General features: G+C 45.1%; 1 protein-coding gene and 1 long non-coding RNA gene across 2 annotated transcripts in view, besides 2 other annotated features; one reads left to right on the top strand and one right to left on the bottom strand.

Moving 5' to 3' along the window:
- Nucleotides 1-10,283, bottom strand: part of EHHADH-AS1 (EHHADH antisense RNA 1) — a 29,055-nt gene extending 18,772 nt beyond the window's left edge. The window contains exon 1 of the long non-coding RNA NR_038990.1: nt 10,200-10,283. This is a non-coding gene — a long non-coding RNA (EHHADH antisense RNA 1). The remainder of the gene's footprint in view (nt 1-10,199) is intronic.
- Nucleotides 19,939-20,078: an enhancer, noted in NCBI's record as "active region_20917". NCBI's record gives its function as "activates an Ori minimal core promoter by ATAC-STARR-seq in GM12878 lymphoblastoid cells {active_cell/tissue: GM12878}" and the evidence as "EXISTENCE:reporter gene assay evidence [ECO:0000049][PMID:35858748]".
- The window catches only part of C3orf70 (chromosome 3 open reading frame 70), a 76,223-nt gene continuing 73,963 nt past the window's right edge, over nt 20,124-22,383 (top strand). Inside the window, exon 1 of the mRNA NM_001025266.3 lies at nt 20,124-20,556. Within this exon, the coding sequence (NP_001020437.1) occupies nt 20,361-20,556 (196 nt within the window). The 5' untranslated portion in view covers nt 20,124-20,360. The remainder of the gene's footprint in view (nt 20,557-22,383) is intronic.
- Nucleotides 20,499-20,718: a silencer, noted in NCBI's record as "silent region_14972". NCBI's record gives its function as "represses an Ori minimal core promoter by ATAC-STARR-seq in GM12878 lymphoblastoid cells {active_cell/tissue: GM12878}" and the evidence as "EXISTENCE:reporter gene assay evidence [ECO:0000049][PMID:35858748]".

Raw genomic sequence — 22,383 nt, 5'->3', positions numbered from 1 at the left:
GGCAATTTTGTGATTTGTAATCTTGTACTCTTTTCCTTAAAAAGGGCCCCTAAAATTATATACCTGTCAGGTTCTCATTGGATCCGCCGAATTACTGCTGTGCTATGCTTCCACTTAAAGGGAATATCTGAGAAACGAGGTACTATAATGACAGGTAAAGTGCCCCGCCCCTCTGATTAGAGCCAATGATGGGAGTGCATGTGAATTGCTGAGGCAGGTTCAGAGCCAGTTCCCAGAAAAAGGGTTTAAACAGCTACCCTCCAAGGAGAAGTGAAAGTGATTGCACTAAGTATTCAGCCTCATGGGGGTGGGGGTGTGGAGAGAGGGGCACTGAGAGGGAGCTGGGATGCTTCCTGACTCCCCTAGGCTCTGCGTAGCAACCAACCATGTCAGCAGGGGTGCGCTTCCCATGTGCCCTAGTCAGACTCAGAATTAAAATCTCTTAGTTGGGCTCTGAATAATGTCCTAAACTGGTGGTTCTCAACTCTGGATGCACAGAAGAACAATCTGGGGAGTTCTGAAAAAATACTACCCCGGAGATTCTGACTGACTTGGCCCAGGGAACTGGTATTTTTATGCACTCCTCAGGAAGTGTCAATGTACAGTCAGGTTGGGGAACCACTGCCCAAACTAGTACGTGCAGTTTCAGTAGGACAGACAGTGGAGTCAAAGCTAGTGCCCAGCAGTGGGAGAGACAGCAGCAAATGGCACAAATCTTTCTTAGGACTCCCGTGGGGCAGGCACTGTGCTTGGAACAAAGATGCCTAAGAGCTCTGACTGTCGCTGGCACACAAGGAATTTACAGTCTAATCAAGGTGTACCGGCTGCCATGATTCTTACAAGAGGGACTCTGAGCTCAGCTAGGATGTGTCAAGGAAAGCCTCCTGGAGTGACTTGAGTCATACAGGATAAAGTAATTATCCAGATGAAGAAAGGAAAAGTGGGGTTTAGGGATATGAATTACGATATTGCATTGAGTGTATTGACTGGGCTGGGGCTGTGGGAATGACATGAAATTCCAGATTAGTAGAACGAAAAAACAGTGAGGCAATGAACATTCATCAGCTAATGTAAAGGAGTAAAGAGACATTGGACCATGGGGCAAGCTAAAGGGGCAGCTGGACTGGCTGGAAATGTGCCAGAGGAGCAGCCCTGGGAGCAGAGGGTGATGGCACAGCTCTTGGGTGACCAGTGAGAACCACAAGTCCATCCAGCCCAGATGAAGCGCCTCTGCATCCCAAGCTGGAGAAGGAGGGGCCACAGGGCTCTCGACAGACCTAGCCCAAGAGGATGATAGAATGGGAAGGAGGACCACTTTCACTGGGATTGATTGCCTTTGGGGTCACATGAAAGGTCCATGAACTTTCCTTCTCAGGCACAGCTCTGGGAGGGCTGTTTGACAAATAGGGAGATTTCAGGCCATCCTGAAACTTAGCCCATCTCCACTGGCCTGGCACTGCTGTTTCCAAAACTACTTCATTTAGGAGCTCAACAATTTGTGTTTACTCTCAATAATATGTTTTGTTTATAAGTTTTTTCTTCTTCTTTTTTTAACATTTTGAACATCCATCTTGTCTATGATACTGCCCTGCATGCTTCCATAATCAGAAATTTGTTTCCCTTCTTCCACTGGGAACATGTTTTCCTGTTTGTGTTTCTAGAGCATTTAACCAGTTGGTTCTAGTTTATATTTAACACTCTGACTCATGATAATAACTGTTTACTATGTTCCTGGCATTATGCTAAGTGCTTTATGTACAATAACTGAGTTATTCTGCAAAAGTACCCTCAAGATACGTATTATGGGTCCCATTTTACCACTAAGGAAAAGGAGACAGAAATTTTAAGGAACTTGCCAAAGACTATCTGAGTCCAAAATACTGTTCTTAATTGCACTCTCTCTCTCTCTCTCTATCTATATATATACACACATACACATATATGTATAAATATATATGTAAATGCTTCTTTATACCAATAGCATTTTGTCATGATTCTTTTCCATACTGTACTCCTTCTGTTTTGTCATATATTAAGCTCTTAGCGTTTGAATTAATGTGTTAAATCTGTTTATTTCAGATTCAGTAACTTATTCTATTTTTAATTTAATGCTCCACTGCTTTTATAATGATGACTTTGTAACATATATTAAAATTTAGTACAGCCAAAAATATACAATAGTGTGAATCAATAATCATTACATCCTCTAAAATAAGTATTCTTTGGCATTCTTCTTGCTATTATCCAGCTGAATTGCCCTCTTATTTTGTTAGACACTTGAAGTTAACCTGCCGAGGCTTTAATTGGTAAATCTACATGTTGCCTAGGAAATACTATTTTATTCACTTTTCTAATCAGATATGGAACTTGATTTATTAACAACGTCCTCTGTAATTTCTCTGAACAAACCTTACTATAAGTTAAATCAACCCCATGTGTTTAATCTGTTTTGGTTGTACTAGCAACAATAAAATTTATTTTTTGTATTTCCTTATTAGATATCAGTTTCATATTGGCATATATACATAAAACAGTATACGTACATAGAATATATAATAGATACACGCACATACACACATGTATGTACATACAAATGTTTTAGAGGTATTAAGGTTAGTCCTGCAACTGAGCTCATTACTTTCAGTAATTTTCAGTTGATTTCCTTAGATTTCTAGGTTTGTAGTCATGTCATCTGCAAAACAGATTATTCCTTCTCTGGGAGTAAAGGATATATTGTCATATAAGAAAAATGGGCTTGAACAAGGCAGACCAGGCAAGCTGCATTTCTGGTGCATTACTGAAGTAAATCCCATAAGACAAAAAACAATCCCGAAATTACTAACACCTGATTTTTTAGAATTTCATCAAGAAGAGAATGAGAATTATAGCAAATACCTTATTAAAATCTCTTCAGATGGCCAGGTGCGGTGGCTCACACCTGTAATCCTAGCACTTTGGGAGGCTGAGGCAGGCGGATCGCTTGAGGTCAGGAGTTCGAGACCACCCTGGCCAACGTGGCGAAACCCCATCTCTACTAAAAGTACAAAAATTAGCCAGGCGTAGTGGCGTGTGCCTGTAATCCCAGCAACTCAGAAGCCTGAGGCAGGAGAATCACTTGAACTCCAGAGGCAGAGGTTGCAGTTAGCCGAGATCACGCCACTGCACTCCAGCCTGGGCAACAGAGCAAGACTCCATCTCAAAAAAAAAAATCTCTTTGGATAATTATTATATGTATACATATATTTGTTTTTCCTGTCAATGTGATATGTTATGTTATCGTTTCTTCTGTGTACCAGTTTTGTGTCTTTAGAATAAAGTATAATGTACTCCAAATAAACCTTGCTATAAGTTAAATCAACTTGTGTTTAATAATTTTTCTCTTTTTCTACCAAGTTGAAATCTTAATATTAATGTTCATAAATAAGATTTGATTTCAGTTTCCTATTCAGATTTTGAAATGAATCATTTTCTCTTCACGAAATGAGCTGGGTAACGTACAACACACATAAGCACTCACATACATTTAAAGTTTGTATAACAGGAATTTTTTTTGTTCTTTGAAAGTTTACAAAATTTTTGTAAACCCATAAGGACCAGGCATCTTTTGGGGTGTAATTTCTTGTATTTCTTTTCTGGTTATTTCATCTGTCACAGTGCTTTATATTTTTATCAGCAAGTACATATTTGGGTATCAAAATTTACTTATATATACATATATAGAAATAATATTCTTTTAAATGCCAAGTCTACTTTGTGTTATTTACATCTTATTAACATGTATTCTTTCTTTTTGTTTTGACGGAGACAATAGTCTTTTGTAGAAAAATTACTTTTTACTGTTTCAATATACTAGTCTGGTTTTGTTCCTCATTTTATTTACATATAATCTTGTTTTATTTTTCCTACTTTAGACTAACCACTTTTATCCCACTAAATATTTTAAGTGGACTTTAAGTTCATCATGTTTACCGTTTTTTTAAATTAATAAAAGTATTGGCCGGGCGCGGTGGCTCAAGCCTGTAATCCCAGCACTTTGGAAGGCCGAGGCAGGTGGATCACAAGGTCAGGAGATCGAGACCATCCTGGCCAACATGGTGAAATCCCGTCTCTACTAAGAATAGAAAAATTAGCTGGGCATGGTGGTGGACGCCTGTAATCCCAGTTACTCGGGAGGCTGAGGCAGGAGAATCGTTTGAACCAGGGAGTTGGAGGCTGCAGAGAACTGAGATCTCACCACTGCACGCCAGCCTGGTGACAGAGCAAGACTCCGTCTCAAAAAAATAATAATAATAAAATAAATAAATAAATAATTTTTGAAAAAAGTATTTAGGATGCTCTTTTAACACAATAAGTATACAATAATGCAATGGTTAAAGGCATGGGTACCAGGGTCAGGCTGCTTGGGTTCAAATCCCAGCTTCAGGCCTTACTAGCTATGCTGCCTTGGACAAGTTCCTTAACCTCTCTGTGCCTCCAGCATCCTCATGTGTGAAGTAGGGGTAGTTACCAGGATCTGCCTCATAGATTATTTTTATAAAAATTATGTGAGATAAAGTGAGCTTTTAACATAGTACTTGGCACATAGTAGGCTGTTAACAAATGTTAGTATATTAGTTGTCATTGTTATTAATTAGAAAATATGAATTATCTGTAGGAGGACTCAGAAGAAAGGGGCATTTCTAGTGAGCAGCAGCATGAAAGAGAAGGCTTGGCTTTGGCGGTTGGTCTCTGAGTGAGGGGTGCAAAACGGTCTGTGACCCCCAAGCTGATACTGTGGGTTTACACCTGGAAAAGCATGGAAACTGCTTACAAAGACCAGCTCTTGGTCAACTATAACACAGGCGGTGTTCCGGGTGATTATAGCTTCCGCTGTTTCTGCTCTTCTCTTCACCTCTACCTTGTCCCTTAATAGCCTCTCAACTCCATCGCCAGTCACCCTTTCCCCCATTTCAAACCCAGATGAATTTCCACTAAGGTAATACATGATTCATAAGATAGCACTTCTATTTTATTTGAATTTAGCATTTGATGCAGTTTTAAGACAAATTTAACTTTCATGCAGATTTTTATGGCATAGTAAAATGAAATGTTAGATTGTAGTTTTGTTTTATTTTGTTTTGGAAGATGGTTGATTGGGTAGGGGTCTTTCTAGAGGATCCACATACGCACCTTCTTACCCATCAACCTAGTCCTATTTCAATACCAAAACCAGAGAGTTTGCAGGCCAGGCACGGTGGCTCATGCCTGTAATCCCAGCACTTTGGGAGGCCAAGGCAGGAGGACTGCTTGAATCCACGAGTTTGAAACTAGCCTGGGAAACATAGTGAGACCCTGTCTCCACAAAAAATTAAAAAATTAACCGGGTGCGGTAGCTCTCGCCTGTGCTCCCAGCTGTTCGGGGAGGCTGAGGCGGGAGGATCACTTAAGTCCAGGAGGTTGAGGCTACAGTGAGCTCTGATCGTGCCACTGCACTCAGCCTCGGCAACAAACTGAGACCCTGTCTCCCCCCAGAAACAAAACAGAAAAAAAACAGTTTGAATTTTTGTCATGGGTCAAGGAAGGAAAGGAAGTTAAAAAGAGTGGAGTAGAAAGGAGTCTCTAAATGAATAACTGTAAAAAAAAAAAAAGGTAGGGGTGGTATGAGAAATAAAATTTTAGGCACTCTTCCTGGCCACGTGTACCTCAGGGCCCAGTCCTTCCTACCTCCTCAGTGAGGAAGAAGTTTCTGCGCCAGGCACGTTGACTCACCCCTGTAATCCCAGCACTTTGGGAGGCCAAGGAGGGTGGATCACCTGAGGTCAGGAGTTCGAGACCAGCCTGGCCAACATGGTGAAACCCCATCTCTACTAAAAATACAAAAAATTAGCTGGTCATGGTGGCAGGCACCTGTAATGCCAGCTACTCGGGAGGCTGAGGCAGGAGAATTGCTTGAACCTGGGAGGCGGAGGTTGCAGTGAGCTGAGATCGCACCATTTCACTCCAGCCTGGGGACAGCAAGACTCCGTCTTGAGGAAAAATAAACAAATAATAAATAAATAAGAAGTTTCTAATCTGAATGGTCAGAGTCCAACACATCGACTGGGCTATATGGCAGATGGTATTTTCCAAAATCATCTCATCTCTCATGCTGTTCTTATGTGATGCGAACACGTCTCTGTTGTGAGGTGGGGTCTCCCTCCAAACCTAGGCTGACCTTAGTAACTGCCTCAACGAATCCAATGTAGTCATGCTGCCTGACTTTTTTCTCTTGAGAGGGAGTTTCGCTCTTGTTGCCCAGGCTGGAGTGCAATGGCGCGATCTCGGCTCACTGCAACTTCCGCCTCCCAGGTTCAAGCGATTCTGCCTCCTGAGTAGCTGGGATTACAGGCATGCGCCACCATGTCTGGCTAATTTTTTGTATTTTTAGTAGAGACAGGGTTTCTCCATGTTCGTCAGGCTGCTCTCGAGCTCCTGATCTCAGGTGATCCGCCAGCTTGGGCCTCCCAAAGTGCTGGGATTAGAGGCATCAGCAACCGCGCCTGGCCTGTCATGCTGCCTGACTTTTGAGGCTCGGCCCTAAAAGTCAATATAACTTCCACTTGGCTCTCTCTCAGGACCCTTCCTGTATTCTGAGGAAGCCACACAGAGGGCCCATGTGTTAGTGTGCCAAGCAACAGCCAGCCACCAGACGTGTGAGTGACTGCTTCCTCAGGCAGGTCCAGTTCCCAGCCTCTGAGTCTTCCAGCTGAGACTCCAGACATGGTGGGGCAGAGAAAAGCCATCTTTGCTCTGTCTTGTGTGAATTCCTAACCCACAGAAACTGCAAGAGATAATAAATGATTATTGTTGTAAGCCATTGAGTTTTAGAGTGATTTGTTATGCAGCGCTAGGGAAATAACACATTTACCAAAAGATGCATTTACTAAAGGGTGTGAACCTATATGCTTCCCTTTTATGGATTTGGTTTTTGTTTTTGAGACAGGATCTCGCTCTGTCACCCAGGCTGAGTGAAGCGTCATGATGCGATCACAGCTCACTGCAGCCTTGACCTCCTGGGCTCAAGCGATCCTCCCACCTCAGCCTCCTGAGTATCTGGGGCCACCAGCATGCACCTCCACATCCGGCTGTTTAAAAAAATTTTTTTTGTAGAGATGGGGTCTCACTATGTTGCCCAGGCTGGTCTCAAACTCTTGGACTCAAGCAATACTCCCGCCTCAGCCTCCCAAAATGCTTGGGTTGCAGTTGTGAGCTATTGCGCTTGGCCCTATATGCTTCTTTCTTGTGCTTCGTATATCATTTCTAGGTGGATCAGGCCTAGCTCATTTCTTCTCTCTTCTACTTTCCCCCTAACATGCATTTAGGTGAGCAAATAAGCCAAGGCCTGCTATGCAATCCTGGCCACACAGTTCCCCTGTTTCTTAGACCTCCTCCTCTTTGCATATGGTCAGAGAGCAGGAAGATCCCGAGAGGTAGGAGGCCCCTACCTCTTTCACCAGTGAGCTCTACATTGAGGTACAGGTGCTCGGACCTTCTTAATAAAGAAGCACCTGTTTCTTCCAGGCGTGGTGGCTCACTCCTATAATCCCAGCACTTTGGGAGGCCAAGGTGGGCGGATCACCTGAAGTCAGGAGTTCAAGACCAGGCTAGCCAACATGGTGAGACCCCCGTCTCTACTAAAAATACAAAAAAAAAAAAAAAAAAAATTAGCTGGGCGTGGTGGTGCATGCCTGTAATCCCAGCTACTTGGGAGGTTGAGGCAAGAGAATCACTTGAACCCGGGAGGCAGAGGTTGCAGTGAGCCAAGATTGTGCCACTTCACTCCAGCCTGGGTGACAGAGTGAGACTCCGTCTCCAAAAAAAAAAAAAAAAAAGTACCTGTTTCACAATCTACGATCATTTATTATGCTTAGCTTCCTGGGGGTCTAATGGGAAGGGGAGAAGGGTGTGGCAAGCAGGGCTAGGGTGTTGCTGGGTCCTTGCCTATAATAGCACAGGCTCAAAATATCACCCTAATGACCAACAATGGGCAGGGAGTGAAAAGGAGTCATCAAGATTGAAAATGTGTACAAGCATCAGCCAATTTCCCTTCATACCACTAAGGGAGAAAGCAGAGCAGTGTGGCTTTGGAATCACTAAATATGGACTCTTTCATTCTCCACCAGGAACAGATTGTGGGACGAGTGGTTTTACGACCTTGAGCAGGTAACCTTATCACCTTTCTGTGATTCCACTTTCCTGAATAATAAAAGGGACATTTTACTTAACCAGTCATGTTACTCTATGAATCCACAAATCTCTCCGTCAGTTTCACAGCTATTTACACCTTGAGCTTCAGGAAGGAACATATGCATTTGGATACCCACTGGAGAAGTGAGGAGGGAGGGGAGTCCCCAGCCCTGTGCCTCCTGGAAATCACAACAGCTGTCACTGGGGCTCAGCTCTCTCCCTCCAGGAAGCAGAGATGAAACTCTCCCCGATAGCAGCTCCCTGGGGGAAGCCAGCTGCAAGGGAGGGAGAAGAAGCCTTGGTTCCACCCTCATTTCACCCCAGGTGAACTAGCTTTGTTCTGAACTAGGGTAACAATAGTGCACCCAAATCCTACACAGGTATACACCCAGGCCGAGTAGGTGTGAGTAGCAGAGAAAGAGAGCAAGGCTTATCCTTGTGCTTTGAAGCCAGGGCAGGAAAGGGGTTCATTTTCCAGATAGCTATGTAAAGAACCTAGCACCATTGACATCATTGACATTACGGTTGAAGCTAATTGCTTTGATGGTCCTTTGTACCTGAATATCAGGAAAAGGGAGAGGGACTTTTGGAGGAAGCTTCTGGTTTTGTACTGGTTACATGTCATCTTCCTGCAACAATTTCATACTGACATTTAAAATAAGGCCGGGTACGGTGGCTCACACCTGTAGTCCCAGCACTTTGGGAGGCCGAGATGGGCAGATCACCTGAGGTCAGGAGTTCGAGACCAGCCCGGCCAATATGGTGAATCCCCGTCTCTACCAAAATTACAAAAGAATTAGCCAGGCATGGTGACCTGCGCCTGTAATCCCAGCTACTCAGAAGGCTGAGGCAGGAGAATCGCTTGAACCTGGGAAGCTGAAGTCAAGATTGTGCCACTGCACTCCAGCCTGGGCAACAGAGCAAGACTCCATCTCAATATAAATAAATAAATAAATGTATCATATTTCTTTTCTTTTTTTCTTTTTCTTTTTTTGAGATGGAGTTTCGATCTTGTTGCCCAGGCTGGAGTGCAATGATGCGATCTCAGCTCACCACAACATCTGCCTCCCAGGTTCAAACTATTCTCCTGCCTCAGCCTCCTGAGTAGCTGGGATTACAGCCACGCGCCTCAGTCTCCCGAGTAGCTGGGATTACAGGCATGCACTACCACGCCTGGCTAATTTTGTATTTTTAGCAGAGACAGGGTTTCTCCATGTTGGTCAGGTCTTGAACTCCCGACCTCAGGTGATCTGCCTGCCTTGGCCTCCCAAAGTGCTGGAATTACAGGAGTGAACCACCATGCCCGGCCCAAGAGTATCATATTTCTGATGTGCCTTACCACTCCCAGCCTCCTGGCCTCCACTGGACACACACATATGCACTATCCGAGGCATGTCAATCATAGGGCCTCCTCACCCAGTCCCTTCTATGGGAAATTGTCCTCTCATAGCTCCTGCTAAAGGAGCAGTTTAGGTGGCCTTTATTTACATCGCATGATGTGCCTTCTCTTCCTTCAGCTGTGGATGACTGCTGAGATAGTGGTTGAAACAAATTCTAACTCTCGGGAATTTAATCTGGGAGGGAAGAGGAAAATGCAGGTCATATCGAGAGCTGAATTAGAAAAGATTTATAATGGAAAAGAACAAGATGGAGTTGGGATTAGAGGAAGTCAGAGTAGAAGGAAACAGACTGATACTATGTGTAAATAGAAGCTACAAGGTAGACAAAAGACAAAATAGGAAGAATAGCGGTGTTGGTGATATGGGATACCTACACGTGGGTAACAGCAAAATCACATATTCTGGAGCATACCAGTGAAGCCGCATTAACTTCTGCTGCTGCCAGTTCAGGCTGCCTTGGATCCAGCCCCACTTCCTGGAGTCCTGGATGTACTGTGACTTTTGTTCTTGGAGTCTCCTGTTGCGCCATGTGCCTCCTGACATTAAACTTCTCATCACTTAAAGTACCCACAACCAAAAGACAGATCCACATACCCCTCAAGCACACTGAGTTCTGAGAGTTCCAGCACGGCTGTTCCAGGATGACTCTTCTCTTTGAATAGAATGGCGAGGACATTCGCTGTGTGCTGGAGTCTCGCCTCCTTCAGTGGAGATGACGGCCATTATTGCATCACTATCAGAATGTCAGCTACCACTTCTCAAGCACCTCTTTGGTGCCGGGAACTGTACTTGATATTTAACAAGCAGTATCTCATTTAATCACAACAACCTTCCTAAAACTGGTGTTATTAGTCTCTTACACAGCCAAAGAAACGCTGGCTCAGAGAGCATAATTAACTCCCCCAGGGATACCAGTTAGCACGTGGCAGAGGCAAGATTAGAACTCAGTGCTGTCTGACTCCAAAGCTCTTGTCCTTTTCATTCTGCTTGACACTTCCCTAAGGAGTGCCACTCAAGCCAGCTTCTCTTGAAACTGAAATGAGCGTCGCAGACAGCAGAGTTTCAAACATGTGTGGCTTTGGTACCCCTAAGGAAGGCAGGCACTGTGCAATTCAACACGGTCCCTGCAGCTCCTGAATGCAGGACCCTTCACCCAGGACCCTTCACTCCTTGATGTTATTTTCTTGGCACAGAGGCATTGGAGTTTGCAGCCTCTGTGAGTGAAGCAACCTGAATGTATAAGGGCAACTTCTTACGCAGTCTCTTCTTTCAGACTGCTTTGAACTGCGTATTGACTATTTGCATGCTTCATATGAGTGACTCACAGCCACTATGATCTCCACACATCCCAAATGGAACATTTTTTTCTTTCCCTCCAAATATGTTCCTCTGTCCTTGTTCCCTAGCTAATGACTGGCATTGTCCTTGAAACTCCTCCCCTCCCCAGAAACAATCCCAAGACTTACTGATTTTACCTTCCCAGGATATCTACCATTCCTCTCCCCTCCTTCCTACCCCCATCATTCAACCCTCTTCGTCTCCCTCTTGGACTAGCAGTTGCCTTATCTCTGGTCTTGTTCCATTCAATGTATCCTCCTGGGTCTTTCCTGAGTCAGCATTCAAAATGCCCATTTGATCCGGTCACTCTGGGCTCAGCATTCCTCAGTGGGTCCTGTACTCGTTATTTATTGTGGCAGAACAAATTGCTCCACAACTTAACAAGTTAAAACAAGAAATATTTATGATCTTACAATTTCTGTGTGTCAGGAGTATAGGTGCAGCTGCGCTGGCCAGGTCTCTTACAAGGCTGCAGTCGAGGTGTTGGCCAGGACTGTGGTTTCATCTCAGGTTCTACTGGAAGGATTTGCTTCTAAGCTCACTCACATGGTTGTTGTCAGGGTTTGGCTCCTCACCGGCTGTTGGCCAGAGGTGTCAGGTCCTTGCCATGTGGGCCTTTCCCTAGGGCCACCCACAACATGGCTCCTGGCTTCCCCTAGAGTGAAGTCCCTGAGAAAGAGAGAGACCAACACAACAGAAGTCACTTTCCTTGTCAACTAATTTTGGAAACAACTCCCATCACTACTTTTACGATTGTTAAGTCCAGTCCATACTCCAGGGGAGCGAATTAACACAAGGAAGTAGCGGGAGCCATCTTAGAGGTTGCCCAGTGGTTTTGCTCTGGTGTTGTGGGGATTACAAACAAACGGGGTTCCAGCCTTACCCCAGCAACACGCAACAGCCTCAGCTGGAGCAGCTGGACTTTACAGATGTTTCATTTATGATTTCTGATGAGTTTTTTAATTGAACAAAGTGCGCCCAGCTGAAAGATATACAAAAACTATGGGTTTAGAGGACTCGGTCTAAACTCTACCAGGCTTTTCGTGATCTGGCCCCTGCCTACCAGTTCCGCCTCTTGTTTGACTGCTCCCACATGACTTTCAGGCAAGACAGATCCACACAGCAGCCTTTGCCTTTCTTGCCTTTCTTTCATTATACCCCACCCCAGCTTGTCTGCGTCACCAGTGCCGACGCATCCTTCCTAGGAAATGTTTTTAAATGGCTCCAGGCAGACATGTTTCTCCCTCATTCTCCTATAGTGCTTTGTTTAAACCCCTTAATCAAAGCAGTTACCTTTTATATTCCTATGGTTGGTTTATGTCTTCCCTCGAAATTTTCTCTAGCATCCAGCCTAGGGCCTGGCACATAGAAAACACTCACTAGCTATTTGTGGAGTGGATGAATGAGCCCAGCATTGTGAGCAAGATGCTCTCTGAGCGCACGGGGCCCTGGGTGTGCTTGGAGGGCTGACCGCAGCCACGCATCTTCACAGTTTGCACATGGAACCTCAGCTGCCTCATTTATAATCCATGAGTCAGTCATTGTATTCCAGATTGTTCTCCACTGTCATTTCAGCCTCTAGCTGCTTCCTGAAATGAGATAAACCTGAACTATTTTAATTGCTAATCATCAAGAGAAAATATTTTTTAAAAAATGAAAATGGTAGAATGTGTATGTTATCCTACCATTAAAAGGAGCAAGAGTGTTCTTGTTTCAAAATGACGAGAGATCCATTGCTTCCCGAAGTAGGTGCGGACTGTTGAAGAGTAAAAAACTGGGTTGTGTTGTGTGGAGCACAAAATCGACCTGATCCTACACCTACTACTGTCACATCACATCACTTAAGAGAAGCTCTCTGCTTATTGGTCCCGATGAGCACGAACACTGAGAGCGTTTACCAAGGCCCACCAGGGGCCAGATCGTTGGGAGGTTAAAGACTGGCCTTTTTGCCTTCCCCTTCTATGTTCAAAACCTACTCTGGAGGTTCATTTTTCCACTAAACATTTTCATAGATAAAAATACTTCTCCAGTTGATAAAACAAATTGATACAAAACTGCTGTGTTCCTTTCAAAGAGCAGCTGAGGGAGATAATGGCAAATTTTAAAAATTCATATTAAGGTGATCCACAATCCACCACTTAAAAAATATAAGAAATGCAATTTTGGACTGGCTTAGCGTTGGGTGGCTTTCTATTTTGCCTTTGATGGTGGCACAATGATATGTTTTGTGGGAAAGCTGGCCTTCGTGATGCAATATCAAAAGGTTAGAGGGGAAACCATGAATATTTCTCCACTATGGGTCTGTCATTCATGCAATGTATAAAATGCCGCTTTGGCCAGGTGTGGTGGCTCATGCCTGTAATCCCAGCACTTTGGGAGGCCAAGGTGGTGGAGCACGAGGTTAAGAGTTTGAGACCAGCCTGGCCAAAACAGAGAAACCCCGTCTCTACTAAAAATACAAAAATTAGACAGACATGGTGGCGGGCACCTGTAATCCCAGCTACTCAGGAGGCTGAGGCAGGAGAATCGTTTGAACCCAGGAGACAGAGGTTGCAGTGAGCCAAGATTGTGCCACTGCACTCCAGCCTGGGCAACAGAGCGAGACTCTGTCTCAAAAAATTAAATAAATAAATAAATAAATAAATAAATAAATAAAATACCACTTTGAATTTGTGGTTATTTCAGCCTGGGTCACCTATAGAGGTAAGATATTCAGTAAGATTACAAGCCAGTTGTTTAAGTTAGGCTTCTTCTTAATTTCAAAGACTTCAAAGGAATCTCCTCATGCTTAGGGTCTAAGGTTTGCAAGACAGGAATTTGAAAAACAAATTCCATCCTATTTGTGAATTTTCAGTCATAAATCTTTCAATGCATCCATTCAAAACTATTTGTTGAGTATCGTCTGTGCACCCCTGCCTCACTACTTGAGGCACGAAGTAGTAGGTGCAGAGTCCTGAAGTATGGAGGAGAAAGTGAATTAAGAAAAGGCTTCAAGAAGCATTTGAGCCAGAACTTGCAGGAAAGGCAGGATTCCACACGTGTAAAAGTGGGTGGCCGGGCAATTCAAGGCAAAAAGAATAGGATGAGAGAAGGCACTGAGGCAGGCAGGAGAGGATATTACATATCCAGAAACAAGACAATAATCCAGGGAGTTTCCAGATACGGAGGCGTAGGGAAGAAGAGGTGGGGAAGTTGGGAGGGCTTTTTATATCCTACAAAGGACCTTCATTTTTTCAAGTAGGCAACGAGACGCATCAAAGGATTTTAAGCCCAGGCATAATGTGATCAGATTTATGTTTTAGGGAGATCTCTTCTCAGCCTCATGAAGGAAGGATTGGAGCAAGGAGAGTCTGTGGACATGGAGGCATTTGAAGGTGCTGGGAAGAGATGGACTCATATTTATTGAGCATCTGCAATGTGCTAGACACAGGGTTTGGCCCTTCAAATAAGTTATTGTATTTAATGTTCACAGCAAGTGTATGAGGTAGGAATTACAATTCTCATTTAAGAGATGAGGCTAAATAACTTGCCCCAAATCACCCAACTAGGAGGTTGTCGACCTAAGCTTTGATTCCACTCTGTCTGATTCCAAAGCTGCTGCTCTTTTCTTTCCATTTGAGGGGATGATGAGGGTCTGAATTCTGCCGTCAGCAACACTGAAGAGGCATCCTCCCTCCCAACAGAAGACTCTTAATTTAGTTTCACCTCATTTGGAAGCTTCTCCATCCACTTCATCATTCTAATTGCTTTAATATGACAAATTGACCAATTACTAGCAGGTTATTTATAACCATGGTGGAATTAGTTGCTTAGTTCAATCAAGCAACCAAAAAGTAACTGAATTGTAATGACTCGATTTATCAAACTGTTCCAAATGGTTGGTGTGCACATATATAACTCATATTAGTGTTAGACCAATATATGCAACAGAATAGTGGGGGAGTATTTGACTATTCACAAATGACAGCTGAACCAAAATAATTCTAATCCCAGCTCTATAGCCAAGTGGACAAGTCTTAACTTTGAACACTAAAAGATGTTCTAGAGAAAGTTCTGGGCTCTTTTTTGTTGATAGAGAAACTGAAGCCTAGAAAGCATAAGGGATTTGCCAAGGTCTCCCAGCCAGAAAATGCCGGAGCTTAGACTTGAACTATTTGCATTGTTTTGATGCTGTTTTCCTACCATGCCTGCTGCACCATGACATGGAGTCACTTAGCCTCTTGAATCCTCAATTATTTTGTCTACAACATGAAAGGATTGGTGGATGTATCAGTTAACTTTTGCTGTGTAAGAAACCACCCAGAACCTAGCAGCCTAAAATAACGGCCATTTTATGGAGCTTATGATTCTGTGGTTGATCATGGTGGTTGTCCTGGTCTGGACTGGCTCAGCAGATCTCTGTTGGACTCTCATGCTTCTGTGACCAGCTGGTGGGTCTACATGATCTGCCATAGCCCCATTCATAGTTCTAGTGGTTGACAGACCATTGGCTGGGGATCAGCTGCTCGCCAACTGGAGCACCTCATTCTCCTTCACAAAGCATTTTATCCTTTAGCAGCCTTGCTCAGACTTGTACACATGGTGGTCTCAGGGTTCCAACACAGAAGGAAAGGGCAAATCCCAATAAGAATGCTGTTTGCAAATCTTTACCATTCTCGCTACTCTTTCATTGGCTAAAGCAAGTCACATGGTGTAGCAGGCAGCTTCTGAAATGGCTCTCAGTGATTCTTGCCTTCTGGCATTCCTGCCGTCATATAATCTTCTCCCCTTGCATGGAGCTGGACCTAGCAACTTGCTTCTAATGAGTAGAATATGACAAAATTGATGGAATATCACTCCTGAGAATAGGTTATAAAGGATTGTGGTGCTCTCTCTGACTCTTCTTAAAGACATACTTGTTCTGATAAAGCAAGCTGCCACGTCTGAACTGTCCTATGGAGAGGTCCATGGAGATCCTAACAACCGGTGAAAAACAACAGTTCCTACGGAACTGAATCTTGCTAACATACAGTGAGTGAGTGAGCTTGGAAGCAGACTCTTCCCTGGTTGAACCTTTAGATGGGAAAGCAGCCTTGGCCCATATTTTCACTGCAGCTTTGTGAGAGACTTAGAAGCCAAGGACCTACTGCAGTTACATCTGGGTTCCTGACTCACAGAAACTGTGTGTTCTTTTAATTTGGGAGTGATTTGTTACAGAGCAATAGATAACTAATACACACAGCTAAGCTCAGAGTCAGTGTGGGAGGTGACTATCCAAGGGTACAGTTATAAGAACAGTAATTATATGAATTATTTATACATACTTGCAAACAATTTACCAAAGATGAATCTTTTCCAGCCCTTTAGAACCGGAGATGAAATTATTTTCACTATTTCAACAATTATTTATTCTCTGCCCTAAATATTGAAAACAAGATGGAAATGTTCCTGTCCTCAAAGAGCGTACAGTTTGTGTCGGGGAAGGGACACAGGGAAAGATATTAATTGAAGAATTCCTTCTTTAATTTTTGTTTACAATTGGGATAAGTGACCTGAATGGACAGCGTGTATAGCTCAGTCTGGACTAGTCAGAGAAAATGGCACTTAATCTGAAGAGGTAGATGGGGGATTAAGAGTCAGGGACAGAGGAAAATTCCAGGCAGAGGGAGTAGTATTCTTTTTTATTTTATTTTATTTTATTATTATTTTTTTGAGACGGAGCTTTACTCTGTCATCCAGGCAGTGCAGTGGTGCAATCTCAGCTCACTGCAACCTCTGCCTCCCGGGTTCAAGTGGTTCTCCTGCTTCAGCCTCCTGAGTAGCTGGGATTACAGGTGCGCGCTACCACACCCGGGTAATTTTTGTATTTTTAGTAGAGATGGGTTTTCGCCATATTGGCTGGTCTTGAAATCCTGACCTCAGGCGATCTGCCCGCCTTGGTCTCCCAAAGTGTTGGGATTACAGGCATGAACCACTGTGCCTGGCAGGGAGTAGCATTCCTTTTTTTTTGAGATGGAGTCTCACTCTGTGGCCCAGGGTGGAGTGTAGCAGTGCGATCTCGACTCACTGCAACCTCCACCTCCCGGGTTTAAGTGATTCTCCTGCCTCAGCCTCCTGAGTAGCCAGGATTACAGGTGCGCACCACCATGCCCAGCTAATTTTTGTATTTTTAGTAGAGATGGGGTTTCACCATGTTGTCCAGGCTGGTCTCGAACTCCTGACCTCAGGTGATCCATCCGCCTTGGCCTCCCAAAGTGTTGGGATTACAGGCATGAGCCACTGTGCCTGGCAGGGAGTAGCATTCTTAAAGGGGAGCTGGAGAGGTGGTCAGCAGCTACAGGACAAGTTCATATTTATGATCAAATTGTATGCTATTATGCAATAATTATGGTTAGAGATTTTAAAATTTCCTTTAGAGATATACACCAAAATATTAATGGATGAAACGATTTGATGTTTGAGATTGGCTTAAAAATGATCCAGTGGACAGGTTGGGGGCCTGGAGTGGGTGGCGCTGTAGATGAAACAAGGTTTTCTAAATGAGTTCATAATCGTTGAAACTGGGTGATGGGTACATGGGTACATGGGGGGTTATCTTCATCTCTCTATGTTTGTATATTTTGGAAAGTTTCATAATAAAAAATTTAAAAATCGTATCCCAACAACACATCCTGAAAGCTGTGTGTATATATTTGAGAGGTCACAGCAATTACCTCCTCCCGCTCCACACCAGACAGTAGAAATCAATAACGTCTTTAGGGCAAGGTGATGGAATGAGTTTCATGGTACAGAAAATGTAAAGGCTTCTCAACTTCAAATCACGTGTCTAACCTAAAATAAGGTGTTTGGATAATTCATCTTGCCTCCTAGCTAAAGTGCTATATTGCATGCTTTCTCATGCTCATTTTTTACTAGCTGAGATGGTTTATTTCATATATTGTGGAATCTTACCACATGGTTCACCCTGGGGTAAAAGTCAGGGGAAGGATCCCATACAAGTATTAGTTACTGAAATACAGAGAGGATGCCGTCATAAGGCCTTCTATGATAGGGGCAGTATTAGAGTGAGTTATAGGTTGGAGAAAGAGAAAAATAGGGTAGAACAGATGGAAAGTCCCCTTTGAAAAATTGTTGGTTGGCTTGCTGCAGTAATAATGGAGTATGGATTTCTTTGATTAAGATTTCTCTGCCTTTTACTTCCGTTATTCTGAGGTAGGTCAGACTGTGAAGTTAACAGCAGGGGTGCATAGATTTTGTGTCAGAGATGTATTCCTTTAGGATTTTTTTGAGGCGGGGAGCAGTTGGGGTGGAAGCTGATGAGATGATTCTTCATGTTTGCAACTGTTTCAATGTTAGGTTAATGGGGGAACTAGAGTTTGTGATTTTGATTCAGACCTTTCTGGAAAATACTTTTGCTGCCAAATTGAGTCTCTCCCCAATCCCTAATAAATGAAGATTTCACCAGAGTCAGATATATGCAAATTACATTTCCCTTCTCAAGCCAAGGTTACATAAAAGGGAAAATTATGAAAGATTGCTTATGGCAGCAAGGATTTTCAAGCTTGAGGATGAATTTGGTTGTTTCAAAACCATGATGAGTCTCTTGTCAGTGCAAAGCAGGAAAGGCATAAAGGAGAAAGTGGACCTGGGCATAAACATGTTCCCACACAGTGTTTGTGCTGAAAGCCTTGTTCCTTGAACAAGCATTCTTCTGTGCGTTTGGCAAATAAGGAGGGGGTGTCCCCTCCTCTTCTGTGTTCAAGGCTGGGTTCTGGCCTTGTTGCAGGGAAACACTAATTCCCAGCAGTGCACCATGGGAGCAAATGGTTTGTTTCCTCTTCAGTGAATCCAGCCTGGGGTCGGTTCTCAGCAGCAGAGCCTGGCATGGAAAATCTATTTGGAGCAACTTGTCCCCAGGAGGGAAGAGTGCGAGCCAACTGTGTGGGGAAGCCGCAGCCACCACAGGGTCAGTCACACCTGCTGGCCAGAGCAGGCGCTAACACAGAAAGGCAGAGTCCTCCGCATACATGAGTCCTGTTTGTGTGCCCACCCACTCCTATGTACCACACACACCCGATTTGATCCGTATATGCCATGTGCACACTCGACATGCCAGATACACGCACTGCACTGCCACACATATACCATACACACACCACTCTGTATTACTAAGCATACCCACCCCCACAACACGTGCACAAGCACATGCACGTCCAACTACACACATATACATATTCTGCACGCCACACACACTCAACCACACACACACCACCCACACTCCACCTCAGTTATAACATTCATTTCACATACACACGTATACACACACCTCACCAGTCACTTGCATCACGCATACCACCCACCATGTACCATGAACACACCTAACCACACACAACCACACACGCATACCCACCATACATACTCCAAATAATCATACACACGCACGCAACACACACATCCCATGCACACCAAACTACACATACGCAGACACACACACACATCAATGCACCCAGCTTTGTTGCTTTCCCGCTCAACGGAGGCGGGGGTGGGAGGAGAAGGGGGAGGGGCTGCGGTCCCGGCGAAGGTTGGGGCGGGCGCGGGAAGGCCCGGGCGCACTGGCCTGGGGTTTGGGGCGAGGCGGGCAGGGGTTGGCGGTGCTGGCCCCTGACGCGCCCTGTGGCCGCGCTGGGGCAGGAGGCCCGCCCTGGGTGGGGGGAGTGCGCGCGTGTGCACGAGCGTGTGCGCGCCTCCCAGGGGCTCCATGCCCAGACACGGGGAGGTGTGTACGAGGGAGATGTGAGACGCCTGTGGGGACAGGCTGTGTGTGTGAGATCCTCGCTACGCGATGCACCCGGCCCGGGCCACTAGGAGGTTCGGGTGGGCGTGGGCCAGGTGTGCGCAGCCCTCCGTGGAGCGTGTGGACGCGTGTGTCAGTTCTCGGTGGCCAGTGTCACTCGGGGGGAAGTGCATATGTAGGCTGGCGTGCATGTGAGTACAAAGCGGCCGAGGAGTGTGTGTTCACCACGGCCCTCCGTCGGGGTCTTTCTCCGAGGAAGGAGTGAGTATGTGAGGAGGACCTCGCTGTGACCGGCGGGGACGCCGACGGCCAAGCTCCCCAGCGGCGTGTGTGTGAGAAGGCCGGGCTCGCTGAGGAACGTCGCGCGGGGCCGACCGGCGCGCGCCTGTGCGCGTGCGTGTGCGCGTGGGGCGCGGCGCGCGCCGCGCCGGAGGGAGGGAGGCTGCCAGCCCGGACCCGGTCGCAGCGCCCGGGGCGGCTCCTCCTCGAGCCTGGGACCGCCGCGCTCCCGCCGCCGCCGCGTGCTGGCGTGACTCCCGGCCCGTGCCGCGCCCTCCCGCGTCCGCAGCCGGCTCGGCTTCCTGCCCACCCAGACGTCGCTTCTCCCGGGCTCCCGGTGTCGGCTCCGCGCGGAGGGAGAGGAAATGAGTGCGGCGGCCTCGCCGGCGTCGGAGCGGGGTTGGAAGAGCGAGAAACTAGATGAGGCTCAGGCCCTGGCGCGGAGTTGCGCCGCCCGCAGACCCGACTTCCAGCCGTGCGACGGGCTGTCTATCTGTGCCACGCACAGCCATGGCAAGTGCTTCAAGCTGCACTGGTGCTGTCACCTAGGATGGTGTCACTGTAAGTCGAGCCGCGTCTTCCCGCCTTCCGCCGCGGTCCGGGGGACGCCCGCCGGGCCGTCCGGGGTCGCTGCCGGAACTCTGCGGCCGCGGGGCTCCGGGCTCTGCCGGGGCTGCTCTGCCGGAGGCTGGGGCCGCCGTGGGCTCCGGGCCCGCCGGAGCTTTCCTTGCGCCGGACGGCTGGGGTTGGCGCTGCCTTGACGACGAGATGAAATCCCGTGGGGCGCCTCGCTTTCTTTAGCTACTTCTACAAAAGGGAGCTCCCTGTCCCAGGGAAGCGGGAATCTGGTTTTTTTTCTTTTCTTTTTCTTTTTTTGACCAAGGCGTCCAGGCGGTGTTTTGAGAAATGGGAGCGAGCCAGCTGAGTTGGCGACAGCTGTTGGGGATGCCTTTTTTCAAGGTTGCTGGTTAAAGATGCTCCTCTTTTTCTTTCTCACTTTTGTCTTCCTGGGCTGCTATTTAAAAGAAGGAGCCCTTGGATATCCAATTGTTTCCCCCTTGATTGTACCCAAATTGAGAAAAAGCGCTAATGTGGGAGGGATTGCTTCCAAGAAGTTAATATTAACAGTTTGGAAGGTCGAGCTCCTTAAATACCCAGATGTAGAATTTAGAGCCAAATAAATGAGACTTATAAAATTACAAAATAAAATGAGTGAAAGTAAGCTTAATAGTCTTAAACCAATTTATAAAAGCTAGAACCAAATGGTCTAAACCCTTTCTCTGTGTTTAGCCTCCTGCCTGTGATTTTTAAATAGATTAAACTTAAGTAGCCATTTAATTAGAATTTCACAATTTGATTAGCTAATAGTATTTGGACTATATCCGATGAATCATTCATTTTAAGAAATATATTCTAAAGTTAGTTTCCACATATATTTGTAATAGAGGGTTTTGGAGTGCTTATTTAGGACATTTTCCAAGTGATCTTAAGTTAAAATGAATTTTTCTTTGTTGAGAAAAAAATAGCTGACAACCAGGAATGCAGTACATAACAAATCCTTATTTACATTAATCGAACATAAATGAATATTTTAAATCGAATTTATGAATTCAAGGATAGAGGATCATTTTCTTTACAAATTCCAGGCACATAGAACAGTATTGATTTCTGGTGTTCCATTTGCTTATGGGCCAGTTTCTTCCTATTTCTCATTATTCCTGTTGTGCTCAGATCTGTTCTCTTTTGTTAGTATAAAGCATTGCTTCACGGTGGGACAGGGTACCGAGTTGGAAGTAGCAACTCTAGGAAACCTGGGATGCTGAAGTGCACAAGTAGAATCTGGACTTTCATTCATTTCGTGGGAAAGTATAGAATCGTTGTGTAAAATGTGAGGAATGTTCAAGATAGTCCAGGTTACTGTCTGTCTTATTTTGACAGTGTCTTCTCTAAGTACACCGTTACTGATGGGAACCTTGCAGTTTTCTCAGACAGCTTCTCCCTTCATTAGCCTTGACTCTTAAAATACTCTTCCTTATATGGAGCTGAAATCAGTTACTTTCTAACTTCTTTCTTCTGCTCCTATTTCTGCCTTATGAAATCATATAGAACAATTGAATCCTTTTTTAGATCATGGCTGTTTCAACTCTTCATATATACATTGCTGAATATACATATGAATGTCTTGCACATATGGACTGTCTTCTCTCTGTATCCCTGGCCATTCTCACAATGTCTTTCCTGAAATAGGTTTAACAATAATGTTCATTGAATGACTGAATGAAGCTAGTGATCATCTTTCTCTTAAGGCATTTCTTTGTCCTATTTATACATTTCCAGTCCCTTCTGCCTTTCCTTTTATGGAATAGTATTCAGGCTCCTAAGCATCTT

Source organism: Homo sapiens, chromosome 3 (genome assembly GCF_000001405.40).
Source record: "Homo sapiens chromosome 3, GRCh38.p14 Primary Assembly".
Classification (NCBI taxonomy): domain Eukaryota; kingdom Metazoa; phylum Chordata; class Mammalia; order Primates; family Hominidae; genus Homo; species Homo sapiens.
This window is presented reverse-complemented; position numbering and strand designations above follow the sequence as displayed.